At 42.2% G+C, this 22,265-nt stretch overlaps 1 long non-coding RNA gene across 1 annotated transcript, besides 5 other annotated features; it reads left to right on the top strand.

Annotated features, from left to right (window-relative positions):
- Positions 1 to 391: 391 nt before the first annotated feature.
- On the top strand, positions 392 to 12,736 carry LINC01232 (long intergenic non-protein coding RNA 1232). The gene is made up of 5 exons (NR_110731.1): positions 392 to 1,012; positions 2,362 to 2,449; positions 3,154 to 3,323; positions 3,481 to 3,563; positions 11,882 to 12,736. It is a non-coding gene; the product is annotated as a long intergenic non-protein coding RNA 1232 (long non-coding RNA).
- Positions 799 to 918: an enhancer, noted in NCBI's record as "active region_7950". NCBI's record gives its function as "activates an Ori minimal core promoter by ATAC-STARR-seq in GM12878 lymphoblastoid cells {active_cell/tissue: GM12878}" and the evidence as "EXISTENCE:reporter gene assay evidence [ECO:0000049][PMID:35858748]".
- Positions 929 to 1,138: an enhancer, noted in NCBI's record as "active region_7949". NCBI's record gives its function as "activates an Ori minimal core promoter by ATAC-STARR-seq in GM12878 lymphoblastoid cells {active_cell/tissue: GM12878}" and the evidence as "EXISTENCE:reporter gene assay evidence [ECO:0000049][PMID:35858748]".
- Positions 3,110 to 3,239: an enhancer, noted in NCBI's record as "active region_7948". NCBI's record gives its function as "activates an Ori minimal core promoter by ATAC-STARR-seq in GM12878 lymphoblastoid cells {active_cell/tissue: GM12878}" and the evidence as "EXISTENCE:reporter gene assay evidence [ECO:0000049][PMID:35858748]".
- Positions 3,859 to 4,373: an enhancer, noted in NCBI's record as "OCT4-NANOG hESC enhancer chr13:100147579-100148093 (GRCh37/hg19 assembly coordinates)". NCBI's record gives its function as "activates a minimal SCP1, AML or CMV promoter by ChIP-STARR-seq in primed H9 embryonic stem cells {active_cell/tissue: H9 hESC(primed)}" and the evidence as "EXISTENCE:reporter gene assay evidence [ECO:0000049][PMID:30033119]".
- Positions 15,007 to 15,207: a silencer, noted in NCBI's record as "peak2103 fragment used in MPRA reporter construct". NCBI's record gives its function as "represses an SCP1 promoter by STARR-seq MPRAs in K562 erythroleukemia cells {active_cell/tissue: K562}" and the evidence as "EXISTENCE:reporter gene assay evidence [ECO:0000049][PMID:32103011]".

Raw genomic sequence — 22,265 nt, 5'->3', positions numbered from 1 at the left:
GGTAAGCCGAGATCGCGCCACTGCACTCCAGCCTGGGCGACTGAGCACGACTCCGTCTCAAAAAAAAAAAAAAAAAAACAAAAAAAAAACTTGACCTTCATTATATCTCACTGCCCTCATCCCAAACATTTCCTCTCCCAGTTTTCCAGGAAACGGCATCGCTGCCCATCTCTTTTCAGGCCCCAACCCTGGAGAAGAACCTAAATTTCTCATTTCCTCACTACCTACCTCCAGTCCTTCAGCAGGTCCCGTTGGTTGGGCTGCTAAACTATGGGCTAAATCCTTTCAGTACTTTCCATGCCCACAGCTACCACTCTGGTCCAAGCCAAATTCTTAGTTCCCCTGGACTTCTTACTGCAGTAGCCTCTCAGCTTCCACTCTTGGCAAAATCAATTTTATAAAACCTTGAAATCCCTTAATACCACTCGTCTGCTTAAACCTCGGCATCCCACATTTACCACTATCAGGAAGGATCACGTTTGTTTGTTTGCTGTCTCATTCCCCCATTTATATGTGAATTCCACGGGTAAGGGCCTGCTCCTACATCCCACACCTCTACATCCACAGAGCCTAGAGACCGCAGGCGCGGGGAAAGCACTCCACGACCATCACTGGCCAGGCCACAAGAGTGCTGGATCTAAATTTGGAACCGGACTTTCAGAGCTGAAATAAACCTGAGGTTTTCCAGGGGCTTTTAACCTCCTTTTACAGCCAAGGATGCGCCTAAGAAAGGGGAGAGGCTTCCGTGACTTCCTGCAGTAACGCAGCCACTAGAGATTGAGACTACAACGACTTGGGAGTCTAAAAGTCTGCAACCTTTTCCACTCCAGAGCTCAATGTTTCCTCAATCCCCCGGGATCGGCATCAGCAAAAACCCGGAGAAGCGGAGCCTTTCTCAAAGAAAATGACCTCCAGACTCATGCTACCATCTCGACCGGTGCAAGTATCACGCATGCGCAGGGCCGGCCGCCCGGCCGCACCTCGCCAACTCCTACTCGGACACGTCATCTAGGTCGGCCTGGGTCTGGTGGGAGGGGCCGGGGGCGGGGCTCGTACGCGGGGCGAAGTGGTCCCCCTACTTCCGGATCCGGCCTCACCTGGCCAACGCCTCATTCGGGGTTCCTTGGTTACGTGGCTGCGGTGTCTACCCGGTGCTGGGGCGTGGCGGAGAGAGACCGCCCCGCCCTCCACGCAGGCCACAAAATGGAGGCCCTGCCCTGTGGGCTTTTGTGGCCTGGGCGCTGTCGTGCCGAAAGACGAAAGTGACAATTCCAGTTGCAAACTGGAAAGAAATGGAGTTTTTCCTTCATTCTCCCCATGATCGTGACGGTCCTTTTCTCAAAGTACTAATACTTTTAATGGGACTGTAAAACTTGAGGGATATGACTCTCTCCTCTCCTCTGCTTCAGATTGCATTTGCCAACTCTGATTTACCGCCAATACTATGGTGCTGTCATATTCATAGAGACAGAAAGTAGAGCAGTGGTTGTAGAGAGAGTCTGCAGAAGGAGGGATGGGGATTTACTGTTTAATGGCATACGGTTTCAGTATGGGTTGGTGAAAAAGTTGGGATGAATGGTGATGACTGCACAACAATGCAAATATGCTAATGTCACAGAAGTGTACACTTAAAAATGGTTAGACGGTAAGTTTTCTATTATGTATATTTTACCACAATTTTTTTTTAAATGCAACAGAGTCTCGCTGTTGCCTAGGCTGGAGTGCAGTGGCAGGATCTCAGCTCACTGCAACCTCCGCCTTCCAGGTTCAAGCGATTCTTGTGCCTCAGCCTCCCAAGTAACTGGGATTACAGGTGCCAGCCACCACGCCCAGCTAATTTTTGTATGTTTAGTAGAGATGGGGTTTCACCATGTTGGCCAGGCTAGGCTGTTCTCGAACTCCTGAACTCAGGTGATCCGCCTGCCTTGGTCTCCCCCAGTGCCGAGATTACACGCGTGAGCCACCACGCCGGGCCCCACAGTTTTTTGTTTTTGTCTTTTAAATTTTTTTTAACAGCATTTGTGTCTTTTTTTCTTTTTCTTTTGTTTTTGAAACAGAATCTCACTCTGTCACCAAGCTGGAGTGCAGTGGCGCCATCTTGGCTCACTGCAACCTCTGACTCCCTGGTTCAAGCAATTCTCCTGCCTCAGCCTCTCCAGTAGCTGGGGTTACAGGCACGCACCACCCCGCCCAGCTAATTTTTGTATTTTTAGTAGAGATGGGGTTTCACCATATTGGCCAGGGTGGTCTCCATCTCCTGACCCCGTGATCCACCTTGCCTTCCCAAAGTGCTGGGATTACAGGTGTGAGCCACTGCACCCAACCTAAATGGCATTTGTTTCTTCCACTCCTCTCTGCCAGAATAATTTGGACAGCCTTTTCTGAGTTTCCCATGACGACTTCTGTATAAGATTGTCGGATATAGCAAATAAAAGTACAGTATACCCAGGTAAATTTTAATTTCAGATGATCAATGAATAATTTTTTAGTATAAGTACATTCCAACTATTACATGGGACATAAGGGTATTTTATCTGATCACCCTACTTTTGTGTCAAGTTAAAATTATTAGCAAAAGTGCTTCCGTTTTTAGGAAGTGCACACTGTACTCTAGTAGTTAGGCAGGAGAACAGGGTCTGCGAGCAGGGAACCTAAGGCCGTTTCACACTGACTTCCTAGAGCCATTTGGAAAGGAAAACCCTAACTTTCCACTCCTAAGTAACAAAAGGCCCAGAGGCCACTCCCTTTGCAAACCCCCACCTTTTCTGTGCCGCAGCTGGAAAATTGAAAGTGCCTCTGATTGGTTGCTTTCTGCAACTAATCAGATGTTTGCATAGAGTGTAACTTTGTAACTTCACTTCAGCCTCTGATTGGTTGCTGTCCCCAACCAATCAGACTGATTGTGGGCCAAGGCTTCGTTTGAATAGAAGTGCAACTTTGTAACTTCACTTTAGCCTCTGATTGCAGGCCACCACTTCATTTACATGGGGTGAGCACCAAGTAAGTGGCCAATGGGAAACATCTAGAGGGTATTTGGACCCGAGAAGATTCTGTATCTGGGGCCCTTGAGCTGCTGCTCAGCCTGCTCCCACACTGTGAAGTGTACTTTCACTTTCAATAAATCTCTGCTTTCCTTGCTTCATTCTTTCCTAGCTTTACTGTGCGTTTTGTCCAATTATTTGTTCAAAACGCCAAGAACCTGGACAACTTGCTGTCCGCAACCAATCAGACTGATTGTGGGCTGAATCTTCATTTGCATGGAAGTGCAACTTTGTAACTTCACTTTAGCCTCTGATTGCGGGCCACCACTTCATTTACATGAGGCAAACACCAAGTAGGTGGCCAATGGGAAACCTCTAGAGGGTATTTGGACCTGAGAAGATTCTGTATCCGGGGTTCTTGAGCTACTGCTTGGGCTCACTCCCACACTGTGAAGTGTACTTTCACTTTCAATAAATCTCTGCTTTCCTTGCTTTGCAGTGCGTTTTGTTCAATTCTTTGTTCAAAACCCCAAGAATCTGGACAACTTGCACTCAAGACCCTCTACGGGTTTGGCGAGCCAGGTAGGAGGAAGCCCAAAGTATGGGATTTATTTTTCTCCTTTCTTCTTTTCCTCTCTGCTACATACAGGGGAATCTTTCTCTCTTTCTTTTCCTTTCCAACTCGGGACTCTTGGTGAACAGTGCCTAAGCATAGTGACAACTGCAAGTTTCTGGCCAGAGCCTCTCTCTGGTGAAACTGAAAGGCTTCCATGTGGAAGCGTCTGAGTAACACCACTGGGTTTGGGTGAGGGACCTGAGTCCTTTTCCTTGTTTTTGTTTTTCTGAGTCCTATTCCTTTTTTCCTTTTTCTGAGTTATTTCCCTTTTTTTCTTTTCCAGTCTTTCAGTGGCTGTTTTCTAGTAGCTCCTTGGCAATTGAGGGGAACTGGCTGGGACCACTCTCCAGTGCTGTCTGAAGGCCAAGGAGTGAACAGGGATGGCTGCCCTGCCTTGAAGAGGGAAGGACTCTTTTCTATCCTTTCCAGCTATAGTCCCTGATCCCTACATGTGATGCGGTTGGCAGCGGAAGCTCATCCTGGGCGAACTCACACACTTTTCAGGAGACTTAAACCTTTTCTTATGCTAAGTTCTTCCCTTCCCCTACTCATCTGGCTAAAGGACAGACTATGCAAAAAAGGTTATACAAGTCAGAGGGTCTGAGCATGTCGGAGGTGGTCTGTGTGGGGCATGGGGTGGGGGGAAAATTCATGAAAGGCAATTTATTGCCTAAATTTAAAGGGTTAAAGGGTTGCTTTAAGTGGGATAGAAAAACCTTAAGGAAAGTTCATAGTAGGTCCTCAGTGGTGGAGTGTTGTGGGAAGTCAGGGACCCTGAATGAAGGGACTGGCTGAAGCCATGGCAGAAGAACATAAACTGTGAAGATTTCATGGACATTTATTAGTTCCCCAAATTAACACTTTTATAATTTCTTACGCCTGTCTTTACTGCAATCTCTGAACATAAATTGTGAAGATTTTATGGACATTTATCACTTCCCCAATCAATACTCTTGTGATTTCCTATGCCTGTCTTTACTTTAATCTCTTAATCCCGTCATCTTCGTAAGCTGAGGAGGATGTAAGTCGCCTCAGGACCCTGTGATGATTGTGTTAACTGCACAAATTGTTTGTAGAGCATGTGTGTTTGAACAGTATCAAATCTGGGCACCTTAAGAACAGGATAACAGCAACGTTCAAGGAACAAGGGAGATAATCTTAACGTCTGGCTGCCTATGGGCCGGGCAGAACAGAGCCATATTTCTCTTCTTTCTAAAGCAAATAGGAGAAATATCGCTGAATTCTTTTTCTCAGCAAGGAACAGCCCTGAGACAGAGAATGTGTGCCTAGGGGTAGTCCTCCAAAATGGCCACTCTGGGGACGGCTGTCTTTTATGGTCGTAGATAAGGGAAGAAATAAGCCCCGGACTCCCATAGTGCTCCCAGGCTTATTAGGACGAGGAAATTCCCACCTAATAAATTTTGGTCAGACTGGTTGTCTGCTCTCAAACCCTGTCTCCTGATAAGATGTTATCAATGACAATGCGTGCCCGAAACTTCACTCGCAATTTTAATTTCGCCCTGGTCATGTGGTCCCGTGATCTCACCCTGCCTCCATTTGCCTTGTGATATTTTATTACCTTGTGAAGCATGTGATCTCTGTGACCCACACCCTATTCATACACTCCCTCCCCTTTTGGAAATCACTAATAAAAACTTGCTGGTTTTACGGCTTAGGGGGCATCACAGAACCTGCCGACATATGATGTCTCCCCTGGACACCCAGCTTTAAAATTTCTCTCTTTGTACTCTTTCCCTTTATTTCTCAGACCAGCCAACACTTAGGGAAAATAGAAAAGGACCCACGTGAAATATCAGGGGCTGAATTTCCCCCGATAGTGGAGGGAACCATCCCAAAGCAGTGCCAGCCCCCATCTAAGGTCAGAGACATCTGACAGACTAAATCAGGGCCCTAAAGTAGGGACGCCCCTGGGGACCCCAGTCTGGGTTCAGAATTTTTTCAGGGGGATGCCCTGGGTAAAGTTTGGGTCACCTAATGGGCCCTCTACTTTTCAAAGTCCTCTTCTCTGTTCCAGACCACTATGGGCAACTCTCTATCTATTCGACCTGATTCCACTATGGGCAATTCTACACCTGTTCCACCGGATTCCTCACTTGGCTACATCATCCACCATTGGAATCAATTTGACCCTGACACTCTAAAGGGAAAATGTATAATTTTTTTCTGTAATACTGTTTGGCCCCATTATGAGCTGCCCAGCCCCCAGCAATGGGCAGTCAGTGGTAGCCTTAATTATGACACCATCCTGCAATTAGACCTACTTTGCAAGAGGCTGGGAAGATGGTCAGAAGTCCCATATGTACAGGCTTTTATCAAAATATCAAAAACCTAACAATCTGTGAAACTCCCAGAACCCACCCCCCAAAGGAAAGTACTAAGGCAGAACTAGATATTATAGATGACCCTCTTTTACAAGGGCTAGCTGTCTCTCAGGGTGAACAGCAACCATCCCCATAAAGCCCCTTGCCAAGTGCTCCTGAGGCTAAAACCCAGGAGCAAACACCAGGGACCCTACTAAATCCCCCTCACACTTGGAGAGGAATGCCATATTCAATTCTCTCTCCAGCCCTGCTACCTCTTAGGGAAGTAGCAGGAACCAAGGGGCCAGTCCTAGTGCAGGCCCCCTTCTCTATAATTTATACATACAATATAAGGAAAAGCTAGGAAACTATTCTGAGAATCCTAAGAAACTTGCAGATGGGTTCCAGCGTTTGACCTTAGCCTCTGATCTATCATGGAGAGATGTTCAATTCATTCTAGCAACCTGTTACACACCCTCAGAAAAGGAATGAATCTCTGAGGCCGCCCACCTGCAAGCAATGAATTATTTGCCCAAAACTCTCAGGGCAATCATCCCGGCCCAGACACAGTTCCCACTATTGATCATAATTGGGACTATAACACTCCTGAGGAAATGAACAACCGGGCTAAATTTCTTGAGGCTCTCCTTGGAGGAATGAGAAAGGGAATAACTAAAGGCAGTAAATTATGATAAAGTAAGGGAGGTTACACAAGGCAAGGAGGAAAATCCAGCCATGTTTTATGGCAGGCTGGAGGGAGACTTTAAAAAATATACTAATCTGGACCCTTCCTCTCCCGAAGGCAAAATATTAATAGCACAGCATTTCATTAGCCAATCTGCCCCAGACATTAGAGATAAGCTCCAAAAGCTACAGATGGGGCCACAAACTAATCAAAATCAGCTTACTTATATCACATTTATGGTGTATAACAATCGTGACCTGAAGGAAGGAAAAAGGGAACAGAGTAAACAAAATGGCAAGCCAAAAGTATGGCAGCCATCATTGACGATGCCCTGAATGTACAAAGAGTGTCTAAGGGAAACCCGAAGGGCCATAAAGATAATGCCAGCAAAGGCTCTTGCTTCAAATGCAAGAAAAGAAGACATTGGGCAAAGGATTGTGCTAAGTCCCCGCCAGGCCCCTGCCGTCAATGCAAGGGCACCAGTCATGACCCCTGGCACTGGAGAATTGACTGCCCATGTTCCCACTGAGGGGCTCAGTCAGTCAAAACTCTAGCAGTGCAAAAGGAGGAATTAGATGAAGACTGAAGGGGCCTGAGGTCTTCCTCACTGCCCCTGTTCAGGAACATTGTAATTACTACTGAGGAGCCCCAGGTAACTCTGGACGTCATGGGCACCCAAATTCAGTTTCTTTTTGATGCAGGAGCAAATTACTCTGTTCTTACTGCTTATGCAGTAAGGCGTTCCTCCCAGTCCACAAGTGTTATGGGAATAGAATGGAAGCCACAAACGAGTTTTTATTTTATTTTATTTTATTTTATTTTACTTTAAGTTCTGGGATACATATGCAGAATGTGCAGGTTTGTTACATAGGTATACATGTGCCATGGTGGTTTGCTGCACCTATCGACCCATCATCTAGGTTTTAAGTCCCACATGGATTAGGTATTTGTCCTAATGCTCTTCCTCCCCTTGCCCCCAACCCCCCAACAGGCCTTGGTGTGTGATGTTCCCCTCCCTGTGTCCATGTGTTCTCATTGTTCACCTCCCACTTATTAGTGAGAACATGCGGTGTTTGGTTTTCTGTTCCTGTGTTAGTTTGCTGAGAATGATGGTTTCCAGCTTCATCCATGTTCCTGCAAAGGACATGAACTCATTCTTTTTTATGGTTGCGTAGTATTCCATGGTGTATATGTGCCATATTTTCTTTATCCCGTCTATCACTGATGGGCATTTGGGTTGGTTCCAAGTCTTTGCCATGGTAAATAGTGTTGCAGTAAACATACATGTGCATGTATCTTTATAATAGAATGATTTATAATCCTTTGGGTATATATCCAGTAATGGGATTGCTGGGTCAAATGGTATTTCTGGTTCTAGATCCCTGAGGAATCACCACACTGTCTTCCACAATGGTTGAACTAATTTACACTCCCACCAACAGTGTAAAAATGTTCCTACTTCTCCACAGCCTCACCAGCCTGTTTCCTGACTTTTTAATGATCACCATTCTAACTGGTGTGAGATGGTATCTCACTGTGATTTTGATTTGCATTTCTCTAACAACAAGTGATGAGCATTTTTTCATATGTTTGTTGGCTGCATAAATGTCTTCTTTTGAGAAGTGTCTGTTCATATCCTTTGCCTACTTTTTGATGGGGTTGACAAACAAGATTCATTACTCCTCCTTTGATTTGTCAATTTGAGAAACAACTCTTCCAACAGGATTTCCTAGTAGTACCAAGCTGCCCAATCCCCCTGTTGGGAAGAGATATTATGGTTAAAATGGAGGCACTACTACAATTTAAGCATCACCCATTGAAATTGCTGATAGTCAAAAATACAGTGTTCCAGACCACATTAATAAATAGGTTAACCCGCTGGCATTGGTATACTGGAAAACCAGGGAAGGCTAAAACAGCAGTGCCAGTCAAAATACATTTTAAAGACCTCAGCTAGTTTCCCAATTGAAAATAATATCCAATTAAGCAGGAAGCAAGAAAAGGCCTAGCACCCATAATTGAGGTATTACTTATTACATGGGCTCTTAAAATCCTGTAATTCCCCTTGCAATACCTGTTCTAAAGCCTTTGGGGGAATACCAGTTAGTATAGGACTGGAGAATACCGGTTAGTATAGGACCTGAGAATAATTAATGAGGCTGTTATCCCCGTCCACCCACTGGTGGCAGATCCATATACCCTTATGGCTCAGGTACAAGGGGATGCAAAATGGTTCTCAGTCCTGGACCTAAAAGATGCTTTCTTCTCCATCCCTCTGGCCCCAGAGTCCCAATACCTTTTTGCCTTTGAATGGGAAAATCAATATGAGGGAAAAACAGTAATATACCTGGACAGTGCACCCTTAGGGCATTCAGGATAGCCCCCATTGGATTGCCCGAGCCTTAGAGAGGGATCTGAAGGATCTGAAAGTGAAAAATGGGAATATACTCCAGTATGTGGATGACTTTCTTGTGTGTAGCCCAAACCCAGGAGGTTTCTGACCAAACTACTATAAAAACTTTGAATTTCCTGGCAGACAGGGGATACAAAGTGTCCGACAAGAAGGCACAGATTATCCTCCAATGGGTGCAATATTTAGGGTATGTCTTAACACCCAGAGCCTGACAAATATCCCCAGAACGAGAGCAAGCCATAGGTGGTTTGCCCCCTGCCCCCTCCCCAACCCCCCCACCTGCCACACCTAGTAGCAGCTTTGTTCTTTTTTGGGAATGGCCAGGTTTTGCAGAATATGGGTACCAAATTTCAGACTCATAGCAAAGCCCCTATATGAAGCAACAAAGGGGCCTGAAGACGAGCTAAAGGAATGAACCCCAGAATTGAGAAAAGCCTTTGCCAAGTTAAAACAGGCTCTCGCTCTTGGCATCCCAGACCTACCTAAGCCCTTCTCTTTGTACGTAGCAGAGAAGAAGGGCATAGCTGTGGGTGTACTAGCCCAGACATTAGGATCAGAACCCAGACTAACCACTGACTTTCCAAAGAAGTTGGATGGAGTGGCCTCGAGGTGACCAAGTTGCCTGCGGCCAACAGCAGCCACTGCTATGTTAGTGGAGGAAGCCACTGAAATCGCTCTGAGCCAACCACTGGAAGTTCTCACCCCCTCATCAGGTTAAGTCTGTCTTAGAGATAAAGGGACACATCTGGATGACAGGGGAAAGATGAACCAAATACCAGGCCATGTTCCTAGACAATCCAGATGTAACCCTTAAAACCTGCAACACTTTGAATCCAGCTTCAGTGCTGCCCACAGGCCCAATAACTGATCATTCCTGCAAGCAGGTCATTGCACATACACAATGTTAGCCAGCCTGCTTTAAAAGACAAGCCTCTCCCAGATTCTGAGGATGAGTGGTTCACAGATGGCAGTAGTTTTGTGTCAAATGGGGTTTGACACAGCACTGAGCTGGATATGCAGTAGTAATTATCGAAGCCCAGCCACTGCTCCTTGGCACATCAGCACAAAAGGCTGAAATCATTGCTCTTACTTGAGCATTAATGTTGGTACAAGGAAAAAAGCTTAACATCTATATCGATTCTAAATATGCATTCCTTGTGGTTCATGTTCATGCTACAGTCTGGAAAGAAAAGGGATTTCTAACTAGAAAACAGTCCTCTATAAAGCCTGGGCCTGAAATTCTTCAGCTATTGGAAGCAATACACTTGCCAAAGGCCGTAGCTCTAATTAATTGTTGGGGTATCAAAGGGACTTAACCCCTATAGCACAAGGGAACAGAAAGGCTGATAAAGAACCAAAGCCGCATCCCTCAGGGTGCCATCCCAACAGACCCTAGCCCTACTTCCTTTCTATGATTTCCCAACAGAACCTGAGTACACAGTACAGAAAGAACAGTTAATAGAGGAACAAGGGGGACACAAAAAAAGGATCCTGGTGGCATATGGGGTCAAAAACATATCTCCCTCAGACAGCCCAGTGGAAAGTTATAAAAGCCGTGCATGCCTCTTTCCATGTGGGGAGGGATGCAACTCTGGCCATTTAAACCAGCTCTTTACTGGGTCTAACTTAGCTTCAGTGGCTAAGCAGGTTTGCTAGGCCTGCTCCCTGTGTGCACTTAACAACCTAGGAAACAACATGCCTCCTCTAATAGAACCAGTGCAGAGGAGAGGAACTTATCCAGGGGGAGACTGGCAATTAGACTTCACCCATATGCCAGCTTGCAGAGGACATGAGTTTTTGTTAGTACTAATAGATATCTTTACTGGTTGGGTCGAAGTTTATCCTACCAGAACAGAGAAGGTTAATGAGGCTATAAAGGTTCTCTTAAAAGAAATAATCCCCGGGTTTGGGTTACCTCAGAGCCTCCAAATTGATAATGGCCCGTCCTTTATCTCCCAGCTAACTCAAGGGGTTGCTAAGTCTCCTGGAATCAAGTACTATCTACATTCAGCATGAAGGCCTCGATCCTTGGGGAAAGTAGAAAGGGCTAACCAAACTTTAAAACGAGTGTTAGCTAAGCTATGTAAGGAAACATCAGAAACTTGGGTCAGCTTACTGCCCATAGCCCTCTTAAGGACCCATAATACCCCTACAGCAAAAATTAATATAAACCCATATGAAATATTATGTGGAAGGCCATTCTTAACTAATGATTTAATTACTGATCCAGAAACAGTTGGTTTAGTAAAATACCTAGTCAATCTAGGACAGTTTCAACAGGCTTTACAAACGTTTGGAATGCAAAGTCTCCCCACACTGGGAACAATCAGCAACTTAAAATCAGGTCAGGAAATAAGGTACTTCTTAAAACATGGAAAGAGGGATCACCTGCTCAACAATTACAACCCAAACGGAAGGGACTGTTTTCAGTGGCACTGGCCATGCCTTCTGCAGTGAAAGTACTAGGATTAGATAGCTGGATACATCTTTCAAGGATCAAGAGAGTGATACCAGAAGCCCTGGACCAGGAACCCGAAGTTGCCATCTGCCTCTACACCTGTGAACCTGTGGAAGACTTCATGAAGTACCTGTTTAGAAGACAGTCAAAAGAAAAGTAAATGCCTACCAATTTTCCTTGGTGTCTTTGTTGCATAGTTACTATAGGCTGGATAATAGTGCCATTTTTAAAAATGTTTTATTTTTGCAGTTTCATTGCCTTCTTCCAAATGGATGGAATCACTTCCTTTGTAGTAATTAAGCAGAATGTTTTAATACATTTCTATAACAAACATTCCTGACGGCATAGGTATCCACCCCCAAAGTTCCCATTAAATCTTTTAACCAAATTCATTTCCTGTTGCACAGAGACCATCAAGCTTCAGATGATCATGTGACAGGGTTTCCAGCCAGTTCCAGGTGAAGACACCACCCCTGGCCATCAAGAAGTCACCCGGTCTCCACTAGACAGAGTAGGGTGAGAGTTCCGTGATCTCCAACCGGTAGTGATTATGCCCCAAGTCAGCATAAAGAAGTTACGGAAGAAAAACCATCAGTCCCTCTGTCTCACATAAAGACTTATGGGGATCACGTTTCTCAGAGGGGAGATGAGGCAGGAGAATAGGGTCTGGAGGCAGGGAACCTAAGGCCGTTTCACACTGACTTCTTAGAACTAAATTGAAAGGAAAACCCTAATTTTCCATGCCTAAGTAACAAAAGGACCAGAGGCTACTCCCTTTGCAAACCCCCACCTTTTCTGTGTGGCATATGGGAAATTGAAAGTACCTCTGATTGATTGTTTTCTGCAACCAATCAGATGTTTGCATTGGAGTGTAACTTTGTAATTTCACTTCAGTCTCTGATTGGTTGCTGCAGTCTGGAAATTCTGCAGGCCAAGTCTTCGTTTGCATAGAAGTGCAACTTTGTAACTTCATCTTAGCCTCTGATTGGTTGCTTTCTGCAACCAATCAGATGTTTGCATAGGCGTGTGACCTTTGTAACTTCACTTCAGCTTCTGATTGGTTGCTTTCCACAACCAATCAGACTGATTGTGGGCCACCACTTCCTTTACGTGAGGTGAACACCAAGTGGCCAATGGAAAACCTCAAGAGGGTATTTGGACCTGAGAAGATTCTGTATCTGGGGCCCTTGAGCTGCTGCTCTGCCCACTCTCACATGGTGGAGTGTAATTTCACTTTGAATAAATCTCTGCTTTTGTTGCTTCATTCTTTCCTTGCTTTGCTGTGTATTTTGTCCAATTCTTTGTTCAAAACGCCAAGAACCTGGACAACTTGCAGTCAAGACCCTCTACCAGTAACACTAGTTGTATCCCTGTAAATGAATGGGCTTTGAAGATTTTCTAGAAGAAAAAGATCACCTCATTGTCCTTCATTTTTTGACATAAAACTGTGATAGCCCAATAGATAAAATGTGAGTTATCGATCACCCCTGGAAAGGATTAGGATATGCCACTCCAAAATATGCCACGTTTATTTTGCACTGAAGGCAATTGAGAAACAGTAGACACAGGAAGAGCTCTCTGCTTTTCCCCTTTTTACCTAAAAGCAGAGAATAAATTTCCTTTTGGAAAGATGACATACATTTTCCTTTATAAAGGTGTTCCCTTCTCCTCTACCAGGAAGATCTGAGATGGCACCAAAATGAATCTGCCTAACAAACCTTACTGCACAATTCTTAGCTACCATACATTTCATAGTCACCTTCCCATAATTTACTGCCCTTAGGAGCCCAAGTCCCTTTCCTTTGACTATCACCTCTCCACAATTTATTGCCCTTTGTTAAAATGATATATAAGCTCCTTCATTTAACTACATCTTTGGGTTTTCACTTCTTATCTTTGATGCTACGATGCATGTAAAAATATTAATAAAATTTGTGTGCTTTTTCTCCTGTTAATTGTATGTCTTTTATCAACTTAAATTACAGGCCCCAAGTACATAATTAAGAGAGTAAAAGGCTGGGCACGGTGGCTGATGCCTGTAGTCCCAGCACTTTGGGAGGCCAAGGCAGGCAGATCACAAGGTCAGGAGATCGAGACCATCCTGGCTAACATGGTGAAACCCCGTCTCTACTAAAAAATAAAAAAAAATTTAGCCAGGCGTGGTGGCGGGCGCCGGTAGTCTCAGCTACTCGGGAGGCTGAGGCAGGAGAATGGCGTGAACTCGGGAGGCAGAGCTTGCAGTGAGCGGAGATCTTGCCACTGCACTCCAGCCTGGGCAACAGAGCAAGGCTCCATCTCAAAAAAAAAAAAAAAAAAGAGAGAGAGAGAGTAAAAGTTTTTCCTCTCCTACACCTCCTTCCCTGTTAGTCTAAATACTATAGCTTGGACATAAAACTTATCCTGAACAGTAGGCTTATAAATGCAACTAGCGGCCGGATACAGTGGCTCACACCTGTAATCCTAGCACTTTGGGAGGCCGAGGCGGGTGGATCACCTGAGGTCAGGAGTTCAAGACCAGCCTGGCCAACATGGAGAAACCCTGTCTCTACTAAAAATACAAAAATTAGCTGGGCATGGTGGCACACATGTGTAATCCCAGCTACTCAGGAGGCTGAGACTGGAGAATTGCTTGAACCCAGGAGGCAGAGGTTGCAGTAAGCCAAGATCACTCCACTGCACTTCAGCCCGGGCATCAGAGCAAGACTCCAACTCAAAAATAAATAAAATAAAATAATTAAATAAATGCAACTCATGGTAGATTGGAGCCGAGGTATGAAAAACGTTAAGCTTTAGGATAAATAATGGTTCTCAGGACATAACTTAGCTAACATACAAGCTATTTATAAGCTAACATAGAAGTTGCAACCAGAAGGGGGATTCTTTTGGCCAGCAGAACCTGGAAAAATGAAAGCCACAGAGGCAAATACTAAAGTATCACTCAGGAAAGACAAGAGTGTAGCTCTGTGACATAGATGGATATATTCTAATCATAAAACTAATTTTACTTCTTCCAAATTTATGCCCACAAACCAACTTTCTGCTTTTTTCTTGTCTCGTATGCATTTTTTAACTTAATAATCTTTAAACACTTTTATAAGAGTTTTTATATTCTGCATAGAAACACTTTGTTAGCTATATGAATTGCAAATATTGCTTTATCAAAAGATTCCTAGAGTCATGAAAGAAAGCAAACAAAGTGCTAATATTGTGGTTCATTGCTTCACTTATAAGATAAAATGCATACCATTTATCAATCTATAAACAATGTCTCAATTTGAGGTTGAATGTTAGAGTTTACCCGGTAATCTAGTATTTCTCTAGAAATGTCAAAAAAAAGGGCAAAATTATATAGTACAGAGGAGTGAGTGGCTGGAGGTTGTCTAGACAAGGTACCCACTGGATGCCATTATCTTGGTGAAAAAGAGAAAGAGAAAAGCAGTCACTGACATGAGGAGTTGGCCTGGTTCTTACAGATAGGACTTGGCATTCTCCTGTCAAATATAAGCAATTTCACAGAACATGAACATTAGACAACGCCGTGTTGTGATGTTGATGTAGCAAGACGAAAACACTGTAACCCTCTGTAATCATGTCTCAACAATCCACTACAACCCGAATGTGGTCCAAACCACAAAATAACCAAACATCCTCTGTCTTGCCTAAGAGTAGTGACTGCTGCCTCTTTAGCAATCACAACTTAAGCCTCAGACTAGTCTGCCCTCCTTCTAGATAAGAGTTATTAGATATCTAATTTTAAGAATTACCCCCTGCTTCCTGACAGCATTTGATCCAGAGCAAAGCTCCACCTCTTTAAAACGCTCCCCAAACCACAAAACACAAGCTCAATTCTTATAAATTTCTTTCCAATCCCCTCTTACTGAGATGTCCCATCGTTCCTCATAGTGTGCGTTCTCCCTTGCTGCAACAAGGAAATAAACCCAACTATAGTTGTGTTCCTGGTGGTCTTTAGCTGAAGAGCATTGACACTGCAGAATCCAGGAGAATCCAGGACAATTCAAGAGCTGGAGACAGCTTACTTGTCAGGACACTAAAAATAGACCTATCTCTCAAGGGTGAATTTGTATTAGCCACAGACACAGAAACTGATGGATAAGTAACATTACTAATTTGTTAATTAATAAAAATGAAATAAAGCCCTGGAAGAGTCAGAAAAGACAAATGTATAGAGTGAGAAAGTAGATGAATGGTTTCCTGAAGGTGGGTGTGGAAAGGGGAATTAAATGTTAAAGGGCATGAGTGGTCTTATTGGGGTGATAGAAATGTTCTAAAAACTATTATTGTGATGACCACACAGCTTGGTAAATTTACTAAAAATCATTGAACACTTAAAATGAATGAATTGCATGGTATGTAAATTATAGCCCAATGAAGTTATTAAAACAACAATGATAATCCAGAGGAGAACAGCTACTTGAATCCAGCCAGCAAATATTCTTCTTCTACAGATAGCCAATGGTCAACAAAAATGAAAACATGTTCAATCTTATTACTCATCAAGAAACTACGAATTGAAGCCTCAATGAGATGCAGCAACACAAGCATTAAAATAGCTAAAATTTGAAAGACTGACAATTCCAAGTGTTGATAAGGATGTAGAACAACTAGAATGCTTACACACGGCTGATGAGAGTGTAAATTTGTGGAAAATTGTTTGGCACACCTATTCTGTAACCCAGAAATTCCACTCCTAGCTCTAAATGCCTACATATATTCACTAAAATATATGTTCACCAAAACAGAACTGAAATGTCCATCTATAGTAGAAAGGATAAAGAATTTGTAGCGTAGTTTCGTAAAATTACTATTAAGCACAACAGCATATATCCATCTCACAAATATGATGTTAAGCAAAAGAAGTTAAACACTTGCATGATTCCATTTATATAAAATTCAAAAACAGGCAAAACAAATCTGGAATGTTAGAAGTCAAGAAGGTGGTTTCCTTGTGCGAATTACAAGGATGTAGTGAGTAGGAGAGCCTGGGGCTTCTGCAGTGCTGGTAAAGTTTACCTTTACCTTTACCTAAACCACTACCTTCATCTGGGTAGTGGTTATCTGGATGTGGTCACTTTGTGATAATTCATCAAACTATACACTTATGATCTGTATATTCTTCTGTATGTATGTTACACTGCAAAAGAATTTACTAAAATAGATATAATTATTGTGAAAAAGTTGATAATCACTGAAATTGAGTATTGGGTACATGGAAGTTGATTTTACCATTCCCTCTACTTTTGTGCATTTGAATTTTTTCATGATAAATACAAACTTCAAATATATATATATATATGTTTCACATATCTATATGCATATATGTGTATGTATATAGGAATGTGTATTTATGTATATGTATTTGTGAATGTTTAAGTTTCTCCTTGTCCTGCCAATCTATTCAAAAGTGAACAAGATTTCCCAGAGACCATAGCAGTGTGAATAGAGCCAGGTGATTCTTTTATACCAGACATATAAAGTCAGTGTGCTTAGATAACATTAACCAGCAAAAGCAATATATCTAACATGTAAGATAAAAGTCTAAGTGAACATTTAAATGCATGTATTAATATAAATATATTGACTATATATGTAACTGTAGATATAGATATAAATATATTGAATGAAATGTAGACAATCTGACAGTGTCTTTTTTACAGTCCAAATCCTATTAAAATGAACTTTGGTGGCTAGGTGTGGTGGCTCCCGTCTGTAATCCCAGCACTTTGGAAGGCCGAGGCAGGTGGATCACAAGGTCAGGAGTTCAAGACCAGCCTGCCCAGCATGATGAAATCCCATCTCTACTAAAAATACAAAAACTTAGCTGGGCATGGTGGCGCGTGCCTGTAGCCCCAGCTACTTGAGAGGGTGAGGCAAGAGACTTGCTTGAACCCGGCAAGTGGAGGTTGCAGTGAGCCAAGATTTCACCACTGCACTCCAGCCTGGGTGACAGAGCAAGACTCCATCTCAAAAAACAAACAAACAAACAACTTTGGCTAGGATTACAATTTTTTTGTTTCATGGGAATATTTTGAATGTGCTAGAAATAAATAAGATTTAAATGTCATTTATGAACAGTGCTCAAGAGAAATGAATACATCATTCTGTACATTTTGTTTTGGACTCCTGGCTAATGATTGCTTTGAAACTTCTGCGTATGAGCAGGTATATTTTGCTGAAATAAAATGTTGGGCAAACTTTTTAGAAAAGCATCCATAAAAAGAAACAATGGGCCCAGAACAGGATACTATTGCACCAGGAGAGATATGAGGCCTTCACCACCATTGCTCTCAAGTAGCTACTGAATGATCCAAAATACACAATTTTTACCAAAAGAAAAATATCTAGAAGTAATTTGAGGGTAGGATGTTTGTTGAAAGTAAAATTTAGACTAAGGGATTTGGGGGAGCATGGATTGAAGGATAACTGTATAAAAATAACTCAACGGAGTCACACTGTGGTCATGTTTTTCTTGAGAGCTGACTTGAGAACATTATGCCCATGTGAGAGGAACTTTACTATTTTATCTTGTTTAACCAGCAAAACTACCAATAAATACTTGTTTAAACATTTTAGACAGCTGATATAAAACATAATAAAGCCTGTAGGCGAGCAGGAACATGTTGACTTCCCCAAGTTTTTCCTCCTCATACCTGTGGTCACAAGAGTGAGATGGTTTGAATGACCTTTTATTCCCTGAGAGGTTCTTAACTTTATTGTGCATGAGAATTACCATATAGAATGGAAGGCGAAACTCCAAGCTGAATGTTGAAAGCTACTTAAAGAACGTTTAAGGGCAGTTTTGGCCTTCAGTATTTTTGCCAAATGTGCTGATTTTAAAACCTAATACCCAATTCAGCCACACTCCACTATAGTTGTGGCCTCTAGCTAGGGCTGTTAGAATACAGTATTATCAGTTACATTTAAATTTCAGAAAAGTCCAGGCGTGGTGGCTCACGCCTGTAATCTCAGCAATTTGGGAGGCTGAGGCAGGCAGATCACCTGAGGTCAGGAGTTTTGAGACAAGCCTGGCCAACATGGTGAAACCCCATCTGTACTAAAAATACAAAAATTAGCTGGGTGTGGTGGCATGTGCCTGTAATCCAAGTTACTTGGGAGGCTGAGGCAGGAGAATCACTTGAACCTGGGAGGCAGAGGTTGCAGTGAGCCGAGATTGCACTGTTGCACTCCAGCCTAGGTGACAGAGTGAGACTTCATCTCAAAAACAAACAAACAAACAAAAAGAATAAATTTCATATAAATAGCAAATAAATTTTTAGTATAGGTATGTCCCATGTTTATTTGGGGCATAATTAATAAACAATTTATTTGTTGTTTATTTTTATTTTCTAAATCTGGATCCGTGGTTTATAAGGTTTATAGCAAAGACTCAAAAGGGGCCCACACAATTTAGATGCATTGAAATAAAACTCTGGGAGGAAAACACTTGCAATAAAATTAAGTTATTACACAACAGTAAGAAACAGATGAACTGTCCCTATATAAAAATGCACAAAGGACATGAAGAGATAATTTACACACAAAAAAAGACATATAAATGGCAAAAAGCATTTAAATAAATATTCAGCCTTATTGTATTAACGTAATTGCATATTTTTTAAGAAAACGAAAAAAATACTTTTTTTAAAGCTACTAAGGAAGCAGTGATAATACCCAACTTATTTCACACCCTGATGATGAGTGGTTTTTTGTTTGTTTGTTTGTTGTGTTTGTTTTGAGATAGACTCTCACTTGGTCACCCAGGCTGGAGTGCAGTGATGCGATCTCAGCTCACTGAGAACCTTGACCTCCCAGGTTCAAGCGATCCTCCTGCCTCAGCCCCTCAAGTAGGTGGGACTACAGGTGTATCCCACCATGCTCAACTAACTTTTTTGTATTTTTTGTAGAGATGGAGTTTCACCATGTTGGCCAGCTGGTCTTGAACTACTGAGTTCAAGCGATCCACCTGCCTCCACCTCCTGAAGTGCTAGAATTACAGGCGTGAGCCACAACACCTGGCCTGTGACAAGTGTCTAATAGCCTTTCTGTAGGACAGTTTGGCATTACGTATTTTTTAAAAGCCTTAAGAATATGCAATTTGAAAGAACAATTATACTTCTTAGAATCAGTCCTAGGGAAACATTTAGAATATATGAAAAAATTTAGCTCCAAGTATGCTTATCAGTATAATGTTTTTATTAGTAAAAAATAGAAACTGGCCTGTGTGGTGGCCTGTATTAAGGAGTTGGTGAATGCTTCATAAAAACCTTGTTAATCTGACACAGGGGCCCATATGCTGGTCTTGCATCAGTGTGCCTTTAACATTAATGATTAATTTATAGAGAAATTGAACATATTTTATCTCTCAAAATTGGCCCATACAATCTCACTCGTCCACCTCTTCCGCAATAGTCCCTGGGCCTTGAGGAGTTGAATAGCTTTAAGTTTTGGCCCTGTATGCAGTTTATTTTGATTGGCATCTTCTACTGGACCTGAAGATGGGTCTTCAATTACTGTCAGCATTTAAAATTTAGCAGTACTTGATGTCCTTTTTAGACCCAGGAGTCAAAGCCCTGTAACTCAATGTCACAAGTACTTTAAAAGTGCATACAGAGAGATACACGGATGTAATAACCTGAATTTAAAAAAATTTTAAATCTCAGTTTTTTCCTAAGCAAACCAAAACTTAATAATAATGCGACAACTTGACCATATAAAAGTTTTTGGTTTTTAAAAAAATAAATCCTCTTATTGTGACTTACACAGATGGTTCATCATATGCTTGGACTTTCTGGTTTGTCCTGAACATCCCTCCTTCTTAAACAACCAGTCATTTTACCCTAGGACTAAATTTATCATACAAGATTCTTTCTCATATGAAATTATTTCTCTTTAAGTTTCTTACCAAAAAAAACCCTCATTATTTTTATAACTTTCTTTACATCTCTCTTATTTCCTGGTTCCTTTTACCTTGTTTTATACATGACCTTTAAATAAGCTTTGAATTAGACAAAAAATTGTTCAAATGTTTTTTTTTTTGAGACAGAGTTTCGCTCTTGTCACCCAGGCTGGAGTGTAATGGCACAATCTCTCCTCACTGAAACCTCCACCTCCCAGGTTCAAGTGATTCTCCTGCCTCAGCCTCCCGAGTAGCTGGGATTACAGGCACCCGCCACCATGCCCAGCCAATTTTTTGTATTTTTGGTAGAGACAAGGTTTTGCCATGTTGGCCAGGCAGGTCTTGAACTCCTGACCTCAGCTGATCTGCCCACCTCGGCCTCCCAAAGTGCTGGGATTATAGGCATGAGCCACTGCGCCCGGCCACTGTTCACCATTTTTTTTTTTTTTTTGAGATGGAGTCTCGCTCTGTCCCCCAGGCTAGAGTGCAGTGGCGTAATCTCAGCTCACTGTGAGCTCCGCCTCCTGGGTTCATGCCACTCTCCTGCCTCAGCCTCCCGAGTAGCTGGGACTACAGGTGCCTGCCACCATGCTCGGCTAATTTTTTGTATTTTTGGTAGAGACAGGGTTTCACCGTGTTAGCCAGGATGGTCTCGCTCTCCTGACCTCATGATCCACCCGCCTCGGCCTCCCAAAGTACTGGGATTACAGGCGTGACCCACCGTGCCCAGCTAAGTTCACCTTTTTTAAAAGGACAGATTTTTTTTTTTTTTTTTAGAAATAATGTTTTCCTATAAATATATTTTTATTGGAAAATACCCAAATAATGAAATATTTATCATTTAGTTTAATATAACTTTAGATTCTAAATTATGAGTTTGTCTACAAGTATTTATCCTATTACATTTACCTAATTATTTCATTTTAATTGTTTACCTAGATTATTTATGAAAACTGTGATAGTCATCATTTAAAGCTATGGAACCGCCATTGCAAAATTGTAACTGAGACGTGAAAAGATTTGACCTAACTGACTCCATTTTGCTTTTAACCTCCAAGGTGTCCTTGTTCATTCCTGGGCATAGGCCAAACTAACTTTGGGAGGAACTTAGTTTATATTTTAGCTTGAAACAAAGATGATAACAAACCTTACTGGCTGTGGACTAGACCACCTAAAGCCATAAGATTAGAAGTTATGGTAATCTTACTAAATTTGAGATGTAGCTATTTTTATTAAACCAATATCAATGTCTTATTTATTAAAGACTACACAAGCAAAGATCATTCTGTTTTGGGTTGGGTTTATAGTTTTGTAACCCCTATGCCAAATTTTGATGCTTTGTAGTATCTGGTAGGGATAGGTATGAAATTGAATCTCGGTCTCCAAAAAGGGAGAATTATTATGAGGCTAGACCATGTGATGCTCTTACAGTGCACTTAAAGAAAAAAACTTTTTTTTAACAAACATATTTCTAAGTGTCTAAACCACACTCTTCCTTAAAAACCCGAGAGTAACCTCTGTTGCAATAACTATTTTAGTTGAAAAACACACCAGGTAACACAATACAAAAGTAAGCCGTTTAAGAGCTGAGATGAACTTGTCTGTTTACATTCTTGGGGTTCCATAAGGAAAAACAGGTTTCTCCCTCAGAGGGAGTCTGGCGCCTTCTCAGTTTTCTTTAAGGAACCCCAGGCTATTATAAACTATTTTAGGTTACCCATGCTACAGAGAGTGCAAGAGAAAGAAGACACAGCAGAAGTAAATGAAGAAAACAGAATTCGGTCAACTGAGAAGAAAAAAACTTTTGCTGAAAAAAAAGACAAGATCCTAGGGGAAAAACAAAAGCAAAAATATGAAGGCCTTTTAAATACAAACAC

Source organism: Homo sapiens, chromosome 13, assembly GCF_000001405.40.
Source record: "Homo sapiens chromosome 13, GRCh38.p14 Primary Assembly".
Lineage (NCBI taxonomy): Eukaryota > Metazoa > Chordata > Mammalia > Primates > Hominidae > Homo > Homo sapiens.
This window is presented reverse-complemented; position numbering and strand designations above follow the sequence as displayed.